This window comes from Homo sapiens, chromosome 2 (genome assembly GCF_000001405.40).
Source record: "Homo sapiens chromosome 2, GRCh38.p14 Primary Assembly".
Classification (NCBI taxonomy): domain Eukaryota; kingdom Metazoa; phylum Chordata; class Mammalia; order Primates; family Hominidae; genus Homo; species Homo sapiens.
The window spans coordinates 214,277,964-214,298,448 of NC_000002.12; the positions used below are offsets into that span (position 1 = coordinate 214,277,964).

The 20,485-nt window shown below is 36.9% G+C and overlaps 1 protein-coding gene and 1 pseudogene across 11 annotated transcripts in view; one reads left to right on the forward strand and one right to left on the reverse strand.

Moving 5' to 3' along the window:
- The window catches only part of SPAG16 (sperm associated antigen 16), a 1,126,038-nt gene that overhangs the window by 993,500 nt on the left and 112,053 nt on the right, over window positions 1–20,485 (forward strand). The window lies entirely within an intron of this gene.
- RPL5P8 (ribosomal protein L5 pseudogene 8) lies at window positions 2,626–3,561 on the reverse strand (annotated as a pseudogene).

A 20,485-nucleotide genomic window follows, 5' to 3' on the forward strand; every position in this document is an offset into this window, starting at 1 on the left:
CAGTTCTAGCTTGCCTGGCTGCTTTGTTTACCTACTCAAGCCTCAGCAATGGCGGATGCCCCTCCCCCTGCCAGGCTGCTGCCTCGCAGGTCGCAGGTCAATCTCAGACTGCTGCACTAGCAGTGAGCAAGGTTCTGTGGGCGTGGGACCCACCGAGCCAGGCGCAGGATGTAATCCCCTGGTGTGCTGTTTGCTAAGACGGTTGGAAAAGCACAGTATTTAGGCGGGAGTGCCCCATTTTTCCAGGTACAGTCTGTCATGGCTTACCTTGGCTAGGAAAGGGAAATCTCCCAACCCCTGGCACTTCCCGGGTGAGGTGATGCCCCACCCTGCTTTGGCTCACCCTTCCTGGGCCGCACCCACTGTCCAACCAGTCCCAGTGAGATGAACCAGGTACCTGACTTGGAAATGGAGAAATCACACATCTTCTGCATCAATCATGCTGGGAGCTGCAGACCATAGCTGTTCCTATGCAGCCATCTTAGAACCGGACCACATCCTCTTTCAAGGTATGAAAGATTATTGACCTTATTTTGTCTAGGTGGAGGAACTGTATCATACAGTGGTATATTTGAGCTACTGTGGGACTGATCTAGTCCTTCTATAAAGAGACTATCTAAATGCCTTATAAATCTTGATATTTTTCTAAGAAGCACTATCTTTGAGAAAAAACTTATTTTCTGGTAAATAAAATGAGGAAATATGAGGGGCAAATTTGAGAGCCTTCATCTTTCAATTATTCCCTTTAAAGCTCCCATTTGATTTTGGATTATGCCACGGTGAATGCAAACAAATCCCACTTTTCAAATGGAATAATTTATTTTCTTAATGTTTGTGTTTCAACCTAAAAGAATTGTTTTTATACCTACATTTGAAACTTCAGAAAACAAGATTCACAGAATAATGAAAAACTACATTTTAACCTAAATGTGGAACTGTGATTACAGACATTACCGCAAGCAAGTGATTCAAACACCACTTTTCCTGTGTCATCTTTTAAACACCACTGCAGATTTTTTATTTTGAACATGTACTTGGCTTCTGCTTCTATCTAAGTTAGAGGAACAGTAATTGGATGTACCCTTGTGCCTGAAACAATAACAAGCAACAACAAAAACAAACAGAATATATGAAACAAGCTTTTTTTTTTTTTTTTTTGAGTCTCGCTCTGTCTTCAGGTTGGAGTGCAGTGGCACGATCTCAGCTCACTGCAACCTCCGCCTGCCGGGTACAAACGATTCTCCTGCCTCAGCCTCCCAAGTAGCTGGGCCTACAGGCATGCACCACAATGCCCAGCTAATTTTTGTATTTTTAGTAAAGACTGGGTTTCACCATGTTCGCAAGGATGGTCTCAATCTCTTGACCTTGTGATCCGCCCTCCTCAACCTCTTGAGAAACAAGCATTTTTTTAAAATTGCAAAACACTAGGCAATAAAGTAGAAGGAACCCAGAGAGATGAAAAACACAGTGCTACATTTGCATCATTTTCCTGCTTTCAGAGAATTTCTGAGCCACAACTCGAGAAAGGAGAGCCCAGATGGAAATTGATGAACTCTGTAAGGTAAGGAAATGAAAATGAGAGCACAGGGACAGCAAGGCTTTTGGAATTCACAGAATAGAGCTCTGGAGAGGAGAAAGATACAGAAGGAACCCCAAATATTTGCATAAGGTACTCCTCAAGTATTCATCAGAGTACTGATCAGGACATGCATGTGAGGAAACTGACATTTGTAGTACCATCCATCAATAGCACAACACATATTCATTTCAAGTATACATGAAACATTGACCAAGATATATACTAAGCCATAAAATAAGTCTTAGTGAATTTTAAAAGATTCAACTCACACAATGTATTTCTCTAACTAAAACAGGATAGACTTAAAATTCAGTCAGTCCCCAAATATTTGAAAATCAAAAAAACCCATGGATCAAAGAAGAAATAAAAAAGTATTTTGAAGTGAATGGCAATGAAAATACAAACATAGGAAAAACTAAGGAATGATGCTAAAGCAGTTCTTAGGAATTTACAGCACTATATGCTGACATTACTGAAGAAAAGATGTCTCAAATTGATGACACCAACGATCACTTTAAGACACTAGAAGACATGAAAATTAACTCAACATAGCAGAAAGGAAAGTATAAATAGCAGGACAGAAATGATCAAATAGAGATGATGTCGGTAATGCAATGTTGGTTTAATATTTGAAATCAGACAATGTAATTCACCATGCGAACTAAAAAACATGCAGAAAAAAATAAAGAAGACATAGAGAGCTATACTTGTTCATCAACAGAAGACTCAAAATGATTAAGATGTCAATTCTCCCCAGACTTATCTATAGATTAAATACAATGCCAGTTCAAATCCTTGCAGGTCTTAACTGAAGAAATTTTCAAGCTTATTTTAAAACTCGTATGGAAATAAAAAAATATAGAATCACTATAACAACTTTGAAAAAGAACATATTTGGAGTAGTAACACTATCTGCTCTCAAGGTTTATTATGATGCTACAATAATCAAGACTATTGGACTGGCATAAAGAAATAACTTGGTCAAAGAAACAGAGTAGAGATTACAGAAATAGATCCACATATGGGCAACTGTTGTTCGTTTTTTTTAAATTTATCGTCTTTCTGAAAAATCTTCATAGAAAACTATTTGGTTTAGCTCTCAGTAGCCTGCCCCTGAGCTGTGAGGAAGCTTGCCTTCTTTTGAGCTACCTGATCTTTCTTCTGAGCAAGGGACATTTTGGGATGGTTCTATCTCTTTTAACTTATTTCCTGGGCGTCTTCTCATAGACTAGATTCTCTCATATAGCAGCATGAGCTTTCTTATACATCTCCTCCATGTCTAGAGTTATGCCGTTCTTTATATATTGAGAGGATTGTTTCTTGTAAGCATCTTCATCTTCCTCTACTTAGTAGCACATGTAATCTGCGACATTCTGGCTGATAATGTGCTTCCAGTGTACTTCTGCATTAAATTCCTTGCTTTCAGAATCATAACCGGGAATCGTTTGGTACTGTAAGGGATAGACAAACCTCCATTCACAGCTCCCTCAGGGCGCCAGAAACTTTATTGCCAGTAGTAGTTCTGGCAAGGCCTTCATCTCCAGTCACCTCCACTTGGCCTTCATAGATCTTGTCCATACCAAACCTATTGAGAAGCCTGTGGTCCAGCAGCAGGCCAGTACAATACGCTGCAGCGTAATTTGTCAAGCCAACCTTCACGCCATATTTTGGCAGTTCATGTGCATATGCTATGCAGACTATCATATCCCCTTCTATACAGGCATAAGCAATATGACAAATGATATCTGTTACACTATCATCCTGTATTTGGGTGTTTCCTATTTATTTTTATCCTGTATCACCAAGCGTTTCTGAGCATAGTAATCAATTTTACCGTCCCATTGTCTTCTAAATTTCACTTGGTGTCTCTTAAAGTAGGCCTTAGTCTTAACAACTTTAATGAACCACATCCTGCAGAGCAAATGCCCACGTCTGCGGCTTGGCAGAGACTTCTAGGCTCAGCAGCGCTAGGTGGGGAAAAGAGGGAGCAACTGATTTCTGATGAAGTTGATGACAGGGAGGAACGGGAACTCTCACACACTCCTGGTGGGAATGTAAAATGGCATGACTCCTACCTGTTTGGAAAATAGTTTAACAGTTTTTTAGAAAGTTTAATATATACCTACCTATCATATGACTCAGCCATTATACTCCTAAGAGAAACAAAAACATATGTCCATACAAAGACTTGTACCCAAATATTCATAGAACCTTTATATTCAATAGTCAAAAACTAGAAATAACTCAAATGACCATCATCCAAATTGTAGTATGTCCATACAATAAAATGTAATAAACTACTGATAAACACAGTGTGGATGAATCTAGAAATAATGATACTGAGTTTTAAAAGCTAGTCAAAAAACAGTATATATGGTGTGATCCCATTTATATAGAACTCAAAAAAATGCAAAGTGATCTGTATAACTGAAAGCACATCAGTGGCTTCCTGTAGAGAGGATTGCAGTGGGTTCTAATCTCTCATTATAAAGGAGAACAAAGAAACTTTCAGAGGTGATGGATATGTTTACTATCTTGATTGTGATAAAGGCTCCAGAAGTGTATACATGTGTTAAAACATTGAATTGTACACTTTATATGTGTACATTTTATTGCAGATCAATTATACTTTAACGCTGTTAAAATATGAATAAAGCACGTTTTAAAACATTTAGAAATCCAAAATATCATAAATTAAACATAAATTATAAATGATGTAGATTGAATCAATTATAATAAAATTACTTAAAAAAGTGTTATCAGAAAAAAAGAAAATGGTACTCTACTATGGTCACAATAAATCTAATGAGGAGAAATATTTAATAACACTGATAAACACTAGTGGATTTTGTTCCTGGTTCAAATCTGTCAATTCAGTATTTCCTAAGATTAATATTAATTTATTGTATAAAACATTTGTGTTTAGTCAATTGATAGACTGATTATTTCTTCTAAATACAGAGGAAGCTTTATCTGGGAATTGCATTATTTCCTAGTGATTCTTACTACCTATTCTAATAGGACACAATTTCACAGATATATTCTTCTTGATTTTTGACTAAGATTTTAAAGAAATACCGTCTTTTAATTTTTGATTAATTTTTTTCTACAATCTTAGAATGAAAATTTTGGAGCAGAAAAGACCACAGAAACCTTTGTAATATATCTCCTCAATATATAAAAGCCAGAAGTGAGCTCAATTTAAATGGCTAACTTAGGATATGAGGAGTAATTGGCAACAAGTGCTGGAACCAGATTTCAAGTCTCATAATATCCAGTCCAAAACTGTGAGACACTATGTAGGTTTCTTCAACTTGACATATTATGTATGATAGCAGAGTGGATTTTCTAAATAGGTGGAAGAAGCCTTTACCTTCGACTGACAGATTTGCTGAGAAAAGACAAAAAGGATCACAGCAGGTTCAGATGAAAAATTGACAGGAGCCTCCACCTAACTCTGATACTGACTCAGCATGAGATATATAGATGACAGCAACCAATACTCTAAAAAAATTATATATGTAAGAAAAGATGCAGCCTAGCAAACACATAAAAGTATATAACTGTGATAATTATTAATAATTATTAATAATTGCAGGGCCCACCAGTCTTCTGTCAGTAAATTGATTGTACACAGGTTTACTGCCTGAGTAATTTGTTTATCTTGCCTGCATCAGTTATTTTGTTGAATTATCATCATAATAACGTGTGTGAACCAGTCTTCTTAAAAGTGTAAAGACTTTGGTCTCTTCTTGTTGATTTATAGTTTAGTCATGACAGCAGCAACAACCACCACAAAAATAATAGCAAATACTTATAGGGTGTTAAATACATGCCAGCCCCATATTAGCACTGTATAACACTTCACATATTCCCACTCCTTTAAATACTTCAGGTATTTCTAAATACATTACATATCTTAACTTCTTTAATTGCCACAAGGCCTATAAGTTTGATGCTATTTTTACCCCTAATTTACAGATGTGGAAACAGAAAGATCCATTAAGTTATGGAGCAAGAAACACTCTGGAGATAATACTCTAAACCACTGTTTTAAACTGTAGAATTAACTTTACAAAAAATAAAAAAATAAAAAGCTTTAGCCAAAATTTAGAAGAAAGATTGTACTCCAAACTAATGCTTTCTGCTGATATTGGCAGAATTTTTGCTTGCTGCTCTAATAGTTTTCTGTTTAATGAGCAAATTGCTTTAAGTACACATATAACACTGCGGCATTAAGGATAAAGATATTCAGCCAATTCCTTTCTCATCTGTGATAGTTCTAGCTCTGCTTATTTGTACAATAGCACTTTGAATTTAATCTTTAGAAAAAACACAAGAAATTGACATTATAAACTTCTTTAAATTACCAGTGAATAAAGGGGGCAATAAAATCAGTAATTTATTAAATAAAGCACAATGGAAGCATTCATTAAGATGTCATGAAAATGCTAATTAATAATCAAAACGTATCCTATTGATTTGAGAGCTTTTCAGTTAGACTTCCAGATAACATCTAGAAATAAGCACTGTACATTCTTAAGTAGAGATTTCATGACTAGGTCATATCCTTATATAGCACCCCTCTTTTGGGGTGTAAGGAAATACCCTGCAGTGAATATCCTCTGAAAGAGACTGCGTTATGAGAAAAAACACAAAGATTATCTTCTAGGTCACTAACAAGGGCTGATTATTTTATGTCAGTCATATTGCTCTTCTTTTTTCCTTTTTGTCTTGATAAATTGTATCAGCTCTCCAAAACCCAGCTTATCTCATCCCTTTAATTTCCTTTAGTTTGATTTGTTTCTTCCTTAACTTTCCAGAACATTGAGGTCTATACATAGCATCTAGCACCAATTTATATAGTATTTCTCCTTTTGGTTATTGATTCTAACTACTTGGTTGAGCATTAAATATTATAATATACACCCTACTGGTGGTGCATCTGTCTCATGTTTCTCTAGCTCCACGCACCTATCAAAGAACTACAGGTAGGAGACCCTCAGGAGCACTCTGCTCCTTTTGTCCACTGAAAAGAAAAAGTGTATATTCATTTGGAGGTCTTTGCGCAGTACTCTGTTGAGATCTACAGATGCAGAAAGTTAAGAGTACAGCTAAATATTATGTAAGTTGAAAATGATTGGTGCATTCATTAGGTAAGAAAGTCTTTTAGTTTTTCCAATCTAGTCAAACTTCATTACCAAATTATCTTTTATCCAATAAACTCATTTTTAAGGTTGAATAATATTTTACTCTGTGTGTGTGTGTGTGTGTGTGTGTGTGTGTGTGTGCATATGTATTTGTGTGTAACCACATTGTCTTTATCCATTCATCCACTGATGGACACTTAGGTTGATTTCATGTCTTGGCTATGATGAGTAGGACCACAATCAACAGATGTACAAATGTATCTTTAATATACTGATTTTCTTTCTTTGGATTTATCCCCAAAAGTGAGATTGTTGGCTCTATTATAGATCTATTTTTATTTTTTTGAGGAACCTCCATACTGTTTTCCATAATGGCTGTACCAATTTACTCTCCCACCAACTGTGTACAAAGGTTCTCTTTCCTCATATTCTTGCCAATATGTATCTTTTATCTTTTTGATAATAGACAATTTAACAGGTGGGAGATGATACCTCATTGTGGTTTTCAATAGTATTTCCCTGATGATTAGTGATGACAGCACCTTTTCATCTACCTGTTGGCCATTTGTTTGCCTTCCTTGGAAAAGTATCTACTCAGGTCTGTTGCTCATTGTTTAATCAGATTATTTGAGGTTTTGTTTTTTTTCAACTATTGAGTTGTAACAGTTTCTTACATATTTTGGATATTAAGCCCTTATCAGATGTATGCCTTGCAAACATTTTTTCCCAATCCATGAGTTTCTATTTCATTCTGTTGATTGTTTCATTTGCTGTTCAGATGAAAAACTAACGAAACCCACTGAACTACTAAACTACTTAACTACTAAAACTGCTAGCCGGGCGTGGTGGCTCACACCTGTAATCCTAGCACATTGGGAGGCCGAGGTGGGCAAATCACAAGGAGTTCGAGACCAGCCTGGCCAACATGATGAAACCCCATCTCTACTAAAAATACAAAAAATTAGCTAGATGTGGTGGTGGGTGCCTGTAATTCCAGCTACTCAGGAGGCTGAGGCAGGAGAATCACTTGAACCTGGGAGGCGGAGGTTGCAGTGAACCAAGATCACACCACTACACTCCAGCCCTGGCGATAATGCAAGACTCCATCTCAAATAATAATAATAATAAATAAATAATAATGAAAAAACTGCTAAAAAGCAGACGCTTTTAGTTTGATGCAATCCCACTTTCCTAGTTTTGCTTTTGATGCCTATGCTTTCACTGTCATAGCCAAAATGTCATCGTCTAGACCAATGTTAATAAGCTTTTTCCCTATGTTTTCTTCTAGTAGTTTTATGATTTTTGGAAATATGTGTAGGTCTTATTCCATTGAGTTAACTTTTGTACATCACTTGACATTATGCAAAGTGAAGTAAGCCAGACACAGAAAGATAAATACTACATTATTTATTTCTATATGGAACCAAAAATATTTGAACTCAAGAAGCAGAGAGTAGAATGGTGGTTGCTGGGCTGTGGTGAACGGAGTAAGGGGGAGATGTTGGTCTGGGGATACAAAGTTTCAGTTACGCAAGATGAATAGGCTCTGGAGATCTAACGTACAACAATGTGACTATAGTTAACAGTACTGTATTGTGTACTTGAAATTTGCTAAGCTCTTATTAAGTGTTCTCACCACACACACACAAAGAATCTTCAGGGATCCCAAAAAGTTTATATGAATGCTTATGTAATTTATTTCTCCAAAATCCATGTAAAACCCCAATAATACTATAAATGACTAAATAAATAGTGTATAAAAAAATAACAGAGGCTGGGCGTGGTGGCTCACACCTATAATCCCGGCACTTTGTGAGGCTAAGGTGGGCATATCACTTGAAGCCAGGAGTTGGAGACCAGCCTGGCCAACCTGCCAAAACCCTGTCTCTACTAAAAATACAAACATTAGCTGGGTGTGGTGGTGCACAACTATAATCCCATCTACTTGGGTGGCTGAGGCACAAGAATCACTTGAACCCAAGAGGCAGAGTTTCCAGTAAGCCAAGATCACACCACTGCACTCCAGCCTGGGCGACAGAGTGAGACTGTGTCTCAAAAATAAACAAATAAATAAATAAAATAAAAAATAACAGTGATAACTTGTTCTGATATTCTCTGGCTGCATTAGAATCACTAAAAATGATTGACCTATGAAATTATTAATGCTACCCATAGTAGGCTAATGATGGATCACTTCCATGAATCTCATCTTCCTCGTCTCTTAATTTGAATTGTAACTGCCATGAAAGACCTTTTCTAATTATTTTAAATTTACTGAATTAGCTGTGAATTAAGACTGAAAAGATATATTTGGAGATTAATAAAGTTCTTCAGGAAAGGTATTTTATTTACATATTTATTTTGGTATAAGATTCCCTACATCTTATAATTACACCATCAGAAACACAAACCTAACTTACCTTTCCTCCTTGCATATTTAGCAAATGCCATAATCATGCATGGCCTGTTACTTTCTGAACCATTTCCTATTGATTATATCCACTGAAATGTTGACATTGAATGATTGCTGAACTCTATCTGTACAAGCACTGAAAGTATTTGAAAGTAGAAATTACTCTTCAAATTTCATTTCTTTTATCTTTTCTGTTATAAGAACTTATCAGTGATTTCCTTCTGTATCCCATTATAGAAATGGCATCATGAAATAAAATATAAGCTGACAGTTCTCAGATTTATTATTGTATTTGATATATTGACATTTTTAAAGAGTGGTGCTCTGTAGTTAAATGAATCCAAAGAGATTAAATCTCTTTAAAAGGAGTCAGTCCTCTAAGAGTGGAATTTTCTTGCCAATGCAGCTTGATCAGACCATAGTTGGGGGTGGGCTTTCAGAAATTGCAACACTTTTCATCTGCTCATCTATTTGAGGCAGTATTATTTTTTTGAGTTTCAATATCTTAAAATACTGATTTTTCTATCAATCATTACAATTGAATGCATTCACATTAGTTGATTTCTATGAAAGTATCAATATCAATAGAAAATTACATCTTGGAAATGGATTTGACTCATGTACTTGAAAAATCAGTGTGTGAGGAAATTTAAAAGTCCAGTTTTCATTAATTTTAGCACAAAGTGTTTTATTGAAACAAAATGCTTCACCTATCTGTATTTTAGTATTTGTTACATATGTAGAATAGGTAATGACCAAGTCAGGTGATTTTGGGTATCCATCACCTTGAGTATTTATCATTTCTATGTGTTAGTAACACGTCAAGTCCTCTCTCCTAGCTACTTGGAAATATACAATACATTTGTTGCTAACTATAATCACCCTACTGTGCTTTTGAATATTGGGGATTATTTCTTCTATTTAACTGTATACCTGTGCCCACTAATCAACCTTGGTTTACCGCCCCCCCCAATCCCACCCTTCCAAGCCTCTGGCATCTATAATTCTATTCTCTGTCTCCATGAGATCAACTTTTTTAGCTCCCACGTATGCATGAAAACATATAGTATCTGTTGTGCTGTGTCTGGCTTATCTCACTTAATGTAACAACTTCCAGTTCCATCCATGTTACTGCAAATGCCCTAATTTTATTATTTTTATGGCCAAATAGTATTCCTTTGTGTAAATATACTGTATTTTTAAAAAATCCACTTATATATTAATGGACAATTATGTTGATTCCATATCTTTGCTATTGTGAATAGTGCCGCAAAGACATGCAAGTGCAGGTAGGTATCCCTTTGATACACATATTTCTTTTTCTTTGGATAAATACCCAGTAGTGGGATTGCTGAATCTTATGGTAGTATTATTTTTGATTTTTTGAGAAATCTCCATTCTGTCTTCTATAGTGGTTATACTAACTTTCATTCCCACCGACAGTGTATGAGTTCCCTTCTCCTCACATCCCGATCAGCATCTATTAAATTTTTTTTGTCTTTTTAGTAAGAGCCATTTTAACTGGGATAAAGTAATATCTCATTGTGGTTTTAATTTTCATTTCCCTGCTGGTTAGCAATACTGAGTATTTTATCATATACCACTTGATCATTTCTTTTTGAGAAATGTCTATTGTCCTTTGCCCACTTATTTATTTATTTATTTATTTATTTATTTATTTGAGACGTTGTCTCGCTCTGTCACCCAGGCTGGAGTGCAGTGGCGCGATCTCAGCTCACTGCAAGCTCAGCCTCCCCGGTTCACGCCATTCTTCTGCCTCAGCCTCTCGAGCAGCTGGGACTACAGGCACCTGCCATCACGCCCGGCTAATATTTTGAATTTTTAGTAGAGACGGGGTTTCACCGTGTTAGCCAGGATGGTCTCGATCTCCTGACCTCGTGATCCACCTGCTTTGGCCTCCCAAAGTGCTGGGATTACAGGCATGAGCCACCGTTCCCAGCCCTTTGCCCACTTTTTAATAGGATTTTTGTTGTTGTTGATGAGTTGTTTTGAGTTTCTTGTATATTTCAGATATTAGCCTCTTGTTGCATGAATAGCTGGCAAATATTTTCTCCCATTCAACAGGTTGTCTCTTCACTCAACGGATTGTTTCCTTGCTATGTAGCTTTTTAGTTTAATAGTCACATTTGTCTATTTTTGTTATAGTTCTCTGCGCTTTTGGGGTCTTAGCCATGAAATGTTTGTAAGATTGATGTCTTGAAGTGTATTTTCTGTGTTCTTTTCTAGTATTTTTACAGTTCCAGGTCTAATGTTTAAGTTTTTCATGGATCTTGAGTTAATTTTTCTATATATAGAGAGCAGTCCAGATTCATTATTTTACATATGTACATCTAATTTTCCCAGAACCGTTTATTGAAGAGGATGTCCTTTACCAGCATGTTCTTAATGCCTTTATCAAAAATAAGTTGGCAATAAATATATGGATTTACTTCTGGACTCACTGATCCATTGGTCTATGTGTCTGCTCTTATAACAAAACCATGCTGTTTGTTTGGGTTATTATAGCCGTCTAACATATTTTGAAGTTGGGTAGTGTGAAGTCTTCAGCTTTGTTCCTTTGGCTGAGGATTGTTTTGGCTTTTCTTGCTCTTTTTTGGTTTGATATGAATTCTATAATTTTTTTTAATTCTGTGGAAAGTGACATTCTTACTTTGATAGGAAATGCATAGGATCTATAGATGCTTTAAGCAGTATGAAAATTTAACAAAATTGAGTTTCCCAATCCATAAGCCTGGGATACTGAACTGTAGTTTTAGTTTGTTGTTGTGTCTTTGTCTGGTTTGGTACCTGGGTAATGCTAGCCTCATAGAATGATTTAGGGAGAGTTCTCACCTCTTCAATTTTTTTGAATACTTTCAGGAGAATTGGTATTAGTTCTTTATATGTTTGGTAGAATTTGGCTGTGAATTCATCTGGTCCTGGGATTTTCTTTGCTGGGAGACCTTTCGTTACTGATTCAATGTCACTACTCACAATTGGTATGTTCAGGTTTTTTTTTACTTTTTCCTAATTCAGTCTTGGTAGGTGTATGTTGTGAGGAATTCATCCATTTCTTCTAGGTTTTCCAGTATTTTAGCATATAGTTGTGCATAATGATCTCTGATGATCTTTTGTATTTTGTTGGTATCAATTGCAATGTTTCCTTTTCTGATTTTGTTTATTTGGGTTTTTTCTCTTCTTCACAGCAATATTGGCCTGTAATTTTGTTTTGTTTTGTTGAATGTGTTTTTTTGAATCTCTATGTCATTGAGCTCTGATCTGATATTTACTATTTCTTTCCTTCTGATAATTTTGGATTTGACTTACCCTTGCTTTCCTAATTCCTTGAGGTGCATCATTAGGTTGTTGATTATAAATCTTTCTACTTTTTAAATGTAAATATTTACTGTTATAAATGTCCCTTTTAGCACTGCTTTTGCTGTCTCCCACAAGTTTGGGTATTTTTGTATTTCCATTTTTATTTATTTCAAGAAATTTTTTGATTTCCATCTTAGTTTCTTCATTGGCCCAATGGTTGGTTATCCAGAAGCATGTTTTTAATCTTCATGTATCTGTATAGTTTCCAACGTTCCTCTTACTGATTTCTAGTTTTACTCTATTGTAGTCTGAGAATATGCTTAGTGTGATTTCTATTTTATAAAAGATTTGTTAAGACTTATTTTGTGTCCCAAACTATGGTTTATCCTGAAGAATGTTCCATTTGCTGATGAGAAGAATGTATATTTTGTAATTTTGGATAAAATGTCCTGTAAATGTCTGTTAGGTCTATTTGGTCAAAAATAAAGTTTAAATCTACTGTTTCTATTAAAAGTGCAATTTAAATCTACTGTATTAACATTTTCCACTATTATTGTATTGAAGTGTACCTCTCTCTTTAGATCTGGTAATACTTGATTTATGAATTTGGGTGATTTAGTGTTGGGTGTATATATATTTAGAATTGTTATTTCCTATTGCTTAAACAATCTCTTTGTCATTATATAATGGCCTTTGTTTTTTCTTTACTGTTTTTGACTTAAAATTGATTTTATGTGACATAAGCATAGCTACTCCTGCTCGCTTTTGGTTTCCTTTTGTTTGGAATATCTTTTTCCAGCACTTCACTTTGAGTCTATATATGTCTTTGTAGGTAAAGGGTGTTTCTTGTTAGCAGTATATATTTAGATCATGTTTCTTTTTTTTTTTTTTTTTTTTTTTGAGACGGAGTCTTGCTCTGTCGCCCAGGCTGGAGTGCAGTGGCGGGATCTCGGCTCACTGCAAGCTCCGCCTCCCGGGTTCACGCCATTCTCCTGCCTCAGCCTCCCAAGTAGCTGGGACTACAGGCGCCCGCCACTACGCCCAGCTAATTTTTTGTATTTTTAGTAGAGACGGGGTTTCACCGTTTTAGCCGGGATGGTCTCGATCTCCTGACCTCGTGATCCGCCCGCCTCGGCCTCCCAAAGTGCTGGGATTACAGGCGTGAGCCACCGCGCCCGGCCTAGATCATGTTTCTTTATCCATTCAACCAGTCTATGTCTTTTAAGTGGAGAATTTAATCCATTTACATTCAAGGTTATTATTGATATGTAAGGTTTACTTCCTACCACATTGTTGTTTCGGGTTGTGTTGTATATTTTTTGTTCCTTTCTTTTTCTTCTTTCATTTGCTATTGTGGTTAGGTAGTTTTCTGTAGTGGTACAATTTGGGTTGTATCTCTTCTTCATTTGTGTGTTTGGTTTATCAGTAAGTTTTATACTTTCATGTGATTTCATGATAGTAAATGTTGTCTTTTCGCTTCCAGATTTAGGAGTCCCTTAAGCATTTCTTGTAGGGCCAGTGAAGGGCCATCAGTGTTTGCTTGTCTGGGAAAAACTTCATTTCCCCTTTATTGATGAAGAATAATTTTGCTGTGCATGATATCCTTGAGTGGGAAGTTTGTTTTTTTTTAAAGCACTTTGAATATGTTATTCCATTTTCTCCTGGCCTAACAGGTTTCTGCTGAGCCCCAGTGTTAGTCTGATGGGAGTTCCTTTATAGGTGACAATATGTTTTTCTTGCTGTTTTATATAGTTTTCTCTTTAATACTGACTTTAGATGGTTGGACTATAATATGCTGTGGATAATTTTTGGTATTGTAGCTGTTTGGGGATCACTGGGCCTTCTGTATCTGGATGTGTAAATCTGTTGCTGGACTTGGAAAGTTTTGATTTATTGTTTTTTTAAATAGGATCTTAACTAAACTCTTGTTTTCTCTTCACCCTCAGGGACATTGATAATTCAATTTCAAAACACCCATATTCAAGTTTTGAGATTCTTTCTTCTGCTTAATCTTGTTTATTATTGAAGCTTTCAGATGTATTTTTATTTCATTTAATAAATTTTTCATTTTCAGTATTTCTGATTTTTTTTAAATAACTATTCGGAAAATTTCTCATTCATATCCTGACTTGTTTTTCTGATTTCTCTGTATTGCTTTAATCATTTTTATTTATCTTTCTGAGCTTCTTTAAACTCAGCATTTTGAATTACTTTTCTGGGAATTCATGGATTTATTTTGATTGGGATATGTTGTTAGAAAATTATATTTTTGGGAGGTGTCATATTTCCTTGCTTTTTGATGCTTCCTGTATCCTCACATTGATATCTGTGCATCTGGTGTAGTAGTTGCTTCTTCCAACTTTTTAAACTTACTTTTGCAGAGAAAGACATTTTCCTGAAGATTTATATATGTTGTTGGTTGGGTAGAGAACTTTGGCCTCAATTTTGAGTGCATGCGATATTGTAGTATCTGTGATTTCATCAGCTGTAAAGTGTCAGTGGTATCTTTGAATTCCTCGGTGGCTTAGGGCTTAGAACACAGTTATTAGTGAAGAATGTGGTAAAGTCTTACTGGGGACGAGGATGCTGGATAGTCCAGTCTTTGAGTCCCAGTGGTGGTAGTGGTGGGCTAAGCATGCCTTACCTTGAGCCGTAGAGCAATGTATGCTGGCTCTGGTGTTAGCACATTCAGGCAGGCCAATTCTTGGGCCCCCAGATGGCTTTCTCAGATGCCAGTAGTGGCAGCAGTAGGCCAGGCTTGTGTGTGGGTTCTTGGGCCTCTGGGCAGTGGTGTGGTGTGCATAATGGCATAAGCAGTGGTAGCACAACTCAGTGGAACACCAATTCATGTTGGTGTTGGTGTTGTCAGTGGCTGCAACAGGCTGGATGGGCAAGTCCCTTGACCTGCAGCTGGCTCATATGGGTTAGTGTCTGCAGTGGTGGTATTGGTAGGTTGGATAATCCTGACCTCAGACCCTGGCAGTAGTGTTCAAGTGCCAGTGATGGTGAGCTGGTCTGGTAATCCCTAGGCCTTTGGAATGTGTGCTTGGGTACTGTTCAGATGAAAGCTGGTGAGCAGATTTGTCATCAGGACCCCTGGTAGTATGTTCAGGCACTACGTATGATAGGCAGAGGCAGAATACTCCCCAGGTCACTAGCAGAATGCTCAGGTTGGGACAGCAGTGGCTGTGTTATGAGTCTGCTTCTGGGGAGGCTGGGGCCACTCTCATTGGGAGCAGCCTAGGAAGGCAGCTGTGGAGCTCATGGTTTGCTTATGCACTGGTCCTGCAGTAGCAGCAGTGGTATTTCTCCTTGGGACATGTGAAAGTTCCTGGCCTTCCATCTCCCTCCTGTGGCAGCTCTGGTAGCAGTGGCCCCAGGGCAGAATGCAGGCCTTTGAAGACTAAGCTTTCTGAATGGTACCAGCTATGGGCCTACAACCAGGGAAGGTGGGGCCACTCTCAATGACAGCAACATAGACAGGCAGCTATGGGACATACAGTTGCCTCATATCTTAGTCCCACAACAGCCCACAGCAGCAGCAGTGGATTTGTTCTTTGGGTGTATGAAATGTCTGGCTTCCCTTATCTCTCCCTGGACTGACTGTAGCAGTAGCACCATCAGCTCCAGGGCAGGATGCCGTCCTTTTGGAACTGAGCTCTCAGAATGGTGCCATATTGCAGCTGCTCAAGGCTGAGAAGACTGTGAAACCCAGCATGAGCTCCCTCTCTTAAGCGGTGCCTCTGCGCAATCTGTAGGCAGCTCCCTATGTTAGTTTCTAGGCTCGTGGGTGCCGAGGGGCTTGCTCTTGGCTAAGATTGTGTAAGTCCATGGCAGGAATGTGGAGCCCTGGGGATCACACATTTTCCCTTTCCCTGTGTCTGGGAGCTTCTTCCAGCTCCCAGTCAATCCCAACTGAGAAGGCTGCCTCATTTCCCTTTCATTCTTTGACTTTGTTGCTTCCAATAATTTCTCTGTTGAATATTGGTGTTCTCTTATAGATGACTCATTTGAACTATGAATATCTACTTGCCATTTTGGTGTCACTTTATGGAGAGGCATATAATAGCTGCATCTAGTCAACCCTCTTCCCTTATGACAGCCAAAATATTATTAATTGAAATGCCAACTGTACTTATTAAAGAGCCTAGATCTGTGATGAGCAGTGATTCATGATTTGCCACTGCAAACTTGCCATCTATCAAACCTTAACTATAGTTAATAATTGAACTTTGTTAGCAGCAAGTCATGAATTTAGTCATAAGGACTCCAAAGATTATCTGATATTTGACTATGTATACTCAATCTTTAGCTGGCTTTAAATAACCTGCTTTATGTTTATAGGTGTCTTCCCCAAAGAAGAGAGTTTATCAAACAAAACATAATAATGCTGGTGATCTTAATGCCTCTCCCAATATGTTTTTCTGATGCCACTACACATCTAGCTAGATTTGACTCTTTAGTATGTAGCCAACATTAATGACTGTTCTAATACACACTTGATTTTTATTTCACAGAATACAAAATTCTTGATTTATTGGAAAAGAATGATAATGCCTGTATCCCTGTATGAGCACTTGCTCTAGCCACGGTCACAGTGCCATCTGTCTAGGGTCTGGGGAATTTAGGCCCATTGATCATTTGGAGAGGTTGAGGAGTAAAATAAATAGTACCCAGCTCTATCATCAAGAGGTTAGTGCTCAGGTCTACCACTTCACTCCATTTTTGATACCAGAATCTCTGCTCTCATCACCATCTTCTGACAAGTTTGAAGTCTGGCAACCAAGGAGCAAAAGTGGGTGGGGCATTATTCAACTAATGGATCCATGAGATAACTTCTTTATCAATGCCTGCTTTGTTATACAGCGAACTCTCTGCTAACACTCATACCATGAGAAATGATTTTAACAAAACCCTAAACTTACTCCACACTCTAATGAAACAGTTTTTGCTAGCTAGCATTTATTAAGCGTATTTTTTTAATCTTACTCACAATAAATAATTTATACCAACAATTGGTACTCAAGGAATTTTGAATACCCTCCCTCCCTAAGCTCTCCTTAATTGGAACAGAAGGGATATGAAGGCCAGGGACAGTGGCTCATGCCTGTAATCCTAGCACTTTGGGAGGCCGAGGTGGGTGGATTGCTTTAGCCAAGGAGTTTGAGACCAGCCTGGCTAACATGGCGAAACCCCATCTCTACTGAAAATGCAAAAATTAACCAGGCGTGGTGGCACATGTCTGTAATCCCAGCTACTTGGGAGGCTGAGGCTGCAGAATTGCTTGAACCCAGGAGGCGGAGGTTGCAGTGAGCTGAGATCAAGCCACCGAATTCCAGCCTGGGCCACAGAACAAGACTGTCTCAAAAAAAAAGGGAAAAGAAGGGATATGAGATTGGACCAGCTGCTCTGTTATATATTACATATTCACAAACCATTTTCTTAGCCACCTTCAGTTAATGTATTTTTAATTTTTATCTTTTTAAATTTTAGATTCAGGGGATATATGTGCATGTTTGTTAAGTGGATATAATGCATAATGGTGAGGTTTGGGTTTCTAGTATACCAATCACCCAAAGAGTGAACATTGTACCCAATAGGTAATTTTTCAACCCTCATGCTCCTCCCATACTCCCCCTTTTCAGAATCCTCAGTTTCTATCATTTACATCTTTATGTCCATGTGTACTCATTTGTTAGCTCCCCTTTAAAAGTTAGAATAAGTGATTTATGATTTTTATGTTTCTGAGTTATTTCACTTAGAATAATGGCCCCCAACTTTACTCATGTAGCTACAGAAAACATAATTTCATTCTTTTTTATGGTTGCATAGAATTCCATAGTGTATATATGTTTAATCCTATCATCCATTGATGTGCACTTAGGTTGATTTCATGACTTTGCTATTGTGGATAGTGCTGCAATAAACATGTGAGTATGGGTGTCCTTTGGATATAATAACTTCTTTTCCTTTGGGTAGATAGCCAGTAGTGAGATTGCTGGGTCAAATAGTAGTTCTATTTTTAGTTATTTGACACATCTTCCTACTGTTTTCCATAGAGGTTTTACTAATTTACACTCCCATAGTGTACAAACATTCTCTTTTCTCCACATCCACACCAACATCTGTGGTTTTTTGACTTTTTAATAATAGCCACTCTGACTGGTGTGATGTGTTATCTTATTGTGGTTTTAATTTGCATTTCTCTGATGATTAGTGATGTTTACCTTTTATTACATGTTTATTAGCCACTTGTATGACTTCTTTTGAGAAGTGTCTGTTCATATCCTTTGCCCACTGATAATAGTTTGGATGTATGTCCCCTCTAAATTTCATGTTGAAATGCCATCCCCAATGTTGGAAATGGGGCATAGTGGGAAGTGGTTGAGTCATGGAGACAGATCCCTCATGAATGGCTTGGTGCACACCTCACAGTAATGAGTGAGTTCTGTCTCTCTCTGAGTTTACACGAGATTGTTTAAAAGAATGTGGCACCTCCCCATTCTCTCTCTTGTTCACTCTGTCACCATGTGGCATGCTGGCTCCCCTTCACTTTCTGCCATGATTGTTAGCTCACTGAGGCCCTCACCAGAAGCAGATGCCAGCACTATGGTTCATGTATACCCAGCAGAACCACAAGCCAAATAAAATTGTTTTCTTAATAAATTACCCAGTCTCAGTTTTTCCTTTATATCAATGCAAACAGACTAACACATGTACTTTTTAATGGGGTTGTTTTTGTTATTGTTGTTGAGTTTTTTGAGTCCTTTGTAGATTCTGGAGATTAATCTTTTGTCGGAGTCATAATTTGCAATTATTTTCTTCAATTCTGTAGGTTGTCAGTTTACTCTGTTAATTTTTTGTTGTTATGCAGAAGCTTTTTGGTTTAAGTCTCATTTGTATATTTTTGTTTTTGTTGCACTTGTTTTTGAGGTCTTAGTCATAAATTCTTTGCTTAGGCCAAATGTTCAGAGCAGTCTTTCTTAAGTTTTCTTTTAGGATTTTTATATTTATTTTTATATTTTCAGGTCTTACATTTAAGTCTTTAATCTACCTCGAGTTAATTCTTGCATGTGGTGAGAGGTATGGGTCCAGTTTCATTCTTCTGCATATGACTAGCCTGTTTTCCAGTGCCATTTATTGGATGATATTGTTTATTATCATTGTTTCTTTCTTTCCCCATTGTTTATTTTTGCTGACATTGGAAAATATAAGTTGGTCGTACATATGTGGCTTTATTTCTGGGTTCTCTATTCTGTTTAATAGATCTGTGTATTTTATTTTTGTATCAGAACCATGCAGTTTTAGTTACTATAGACTTACAGTATAATTTGCAGTCAGGTATTGTGATGCCTCCAGCTTTGTTCTTTTTGCTTAAGATTGCTTGGGCTATTTGGCTCTTTTTTTTTTTTTGGTTTTGTATGAATTTTAAGATTGTTTTTTCAAATTCTGTGAAAAATGACATTAGTAATTTGATAGAAATTGCATTGATACTGTAGATTGCTTTGGAAGTATGATCATTTTAATAATGTTTTCAGTTCCAAAAGCATGGAATGTTTTTCTATTTGTTTGTGTCATCTGCAATTTCTTTAATCAGTATTTTATAGTTCTCCTTGTGGAGCTCTTTTACCTTCTTGGTTAGATGTATGCCTATATATATATATATATATGTATGCATATATATATATATACACACACACACACACACACATACACATACACACACACACACATATACACACACACACACACATATATATATATTTGCATGGCAATTTTAAATGAGATTGAGTTCCTGTCTTAGTTCTCAGCTTGAATGTTATTGTTGTATAGAAATGTCTCTGATTTTTTGTACATTGATTTTTGTATCCTGAAACTCTGCTCAAGTCATTTATCAAAGTTAGGAGTCTTTTGGAAGAGTCTTAGGGTTTCTAGGTATAATATCATGTCAGCAGTGAACAGAGATAAGGAGGATGATGATGAAATTATCAGAACGTAGAAACTGTATTTTTTTATGATTCAGCT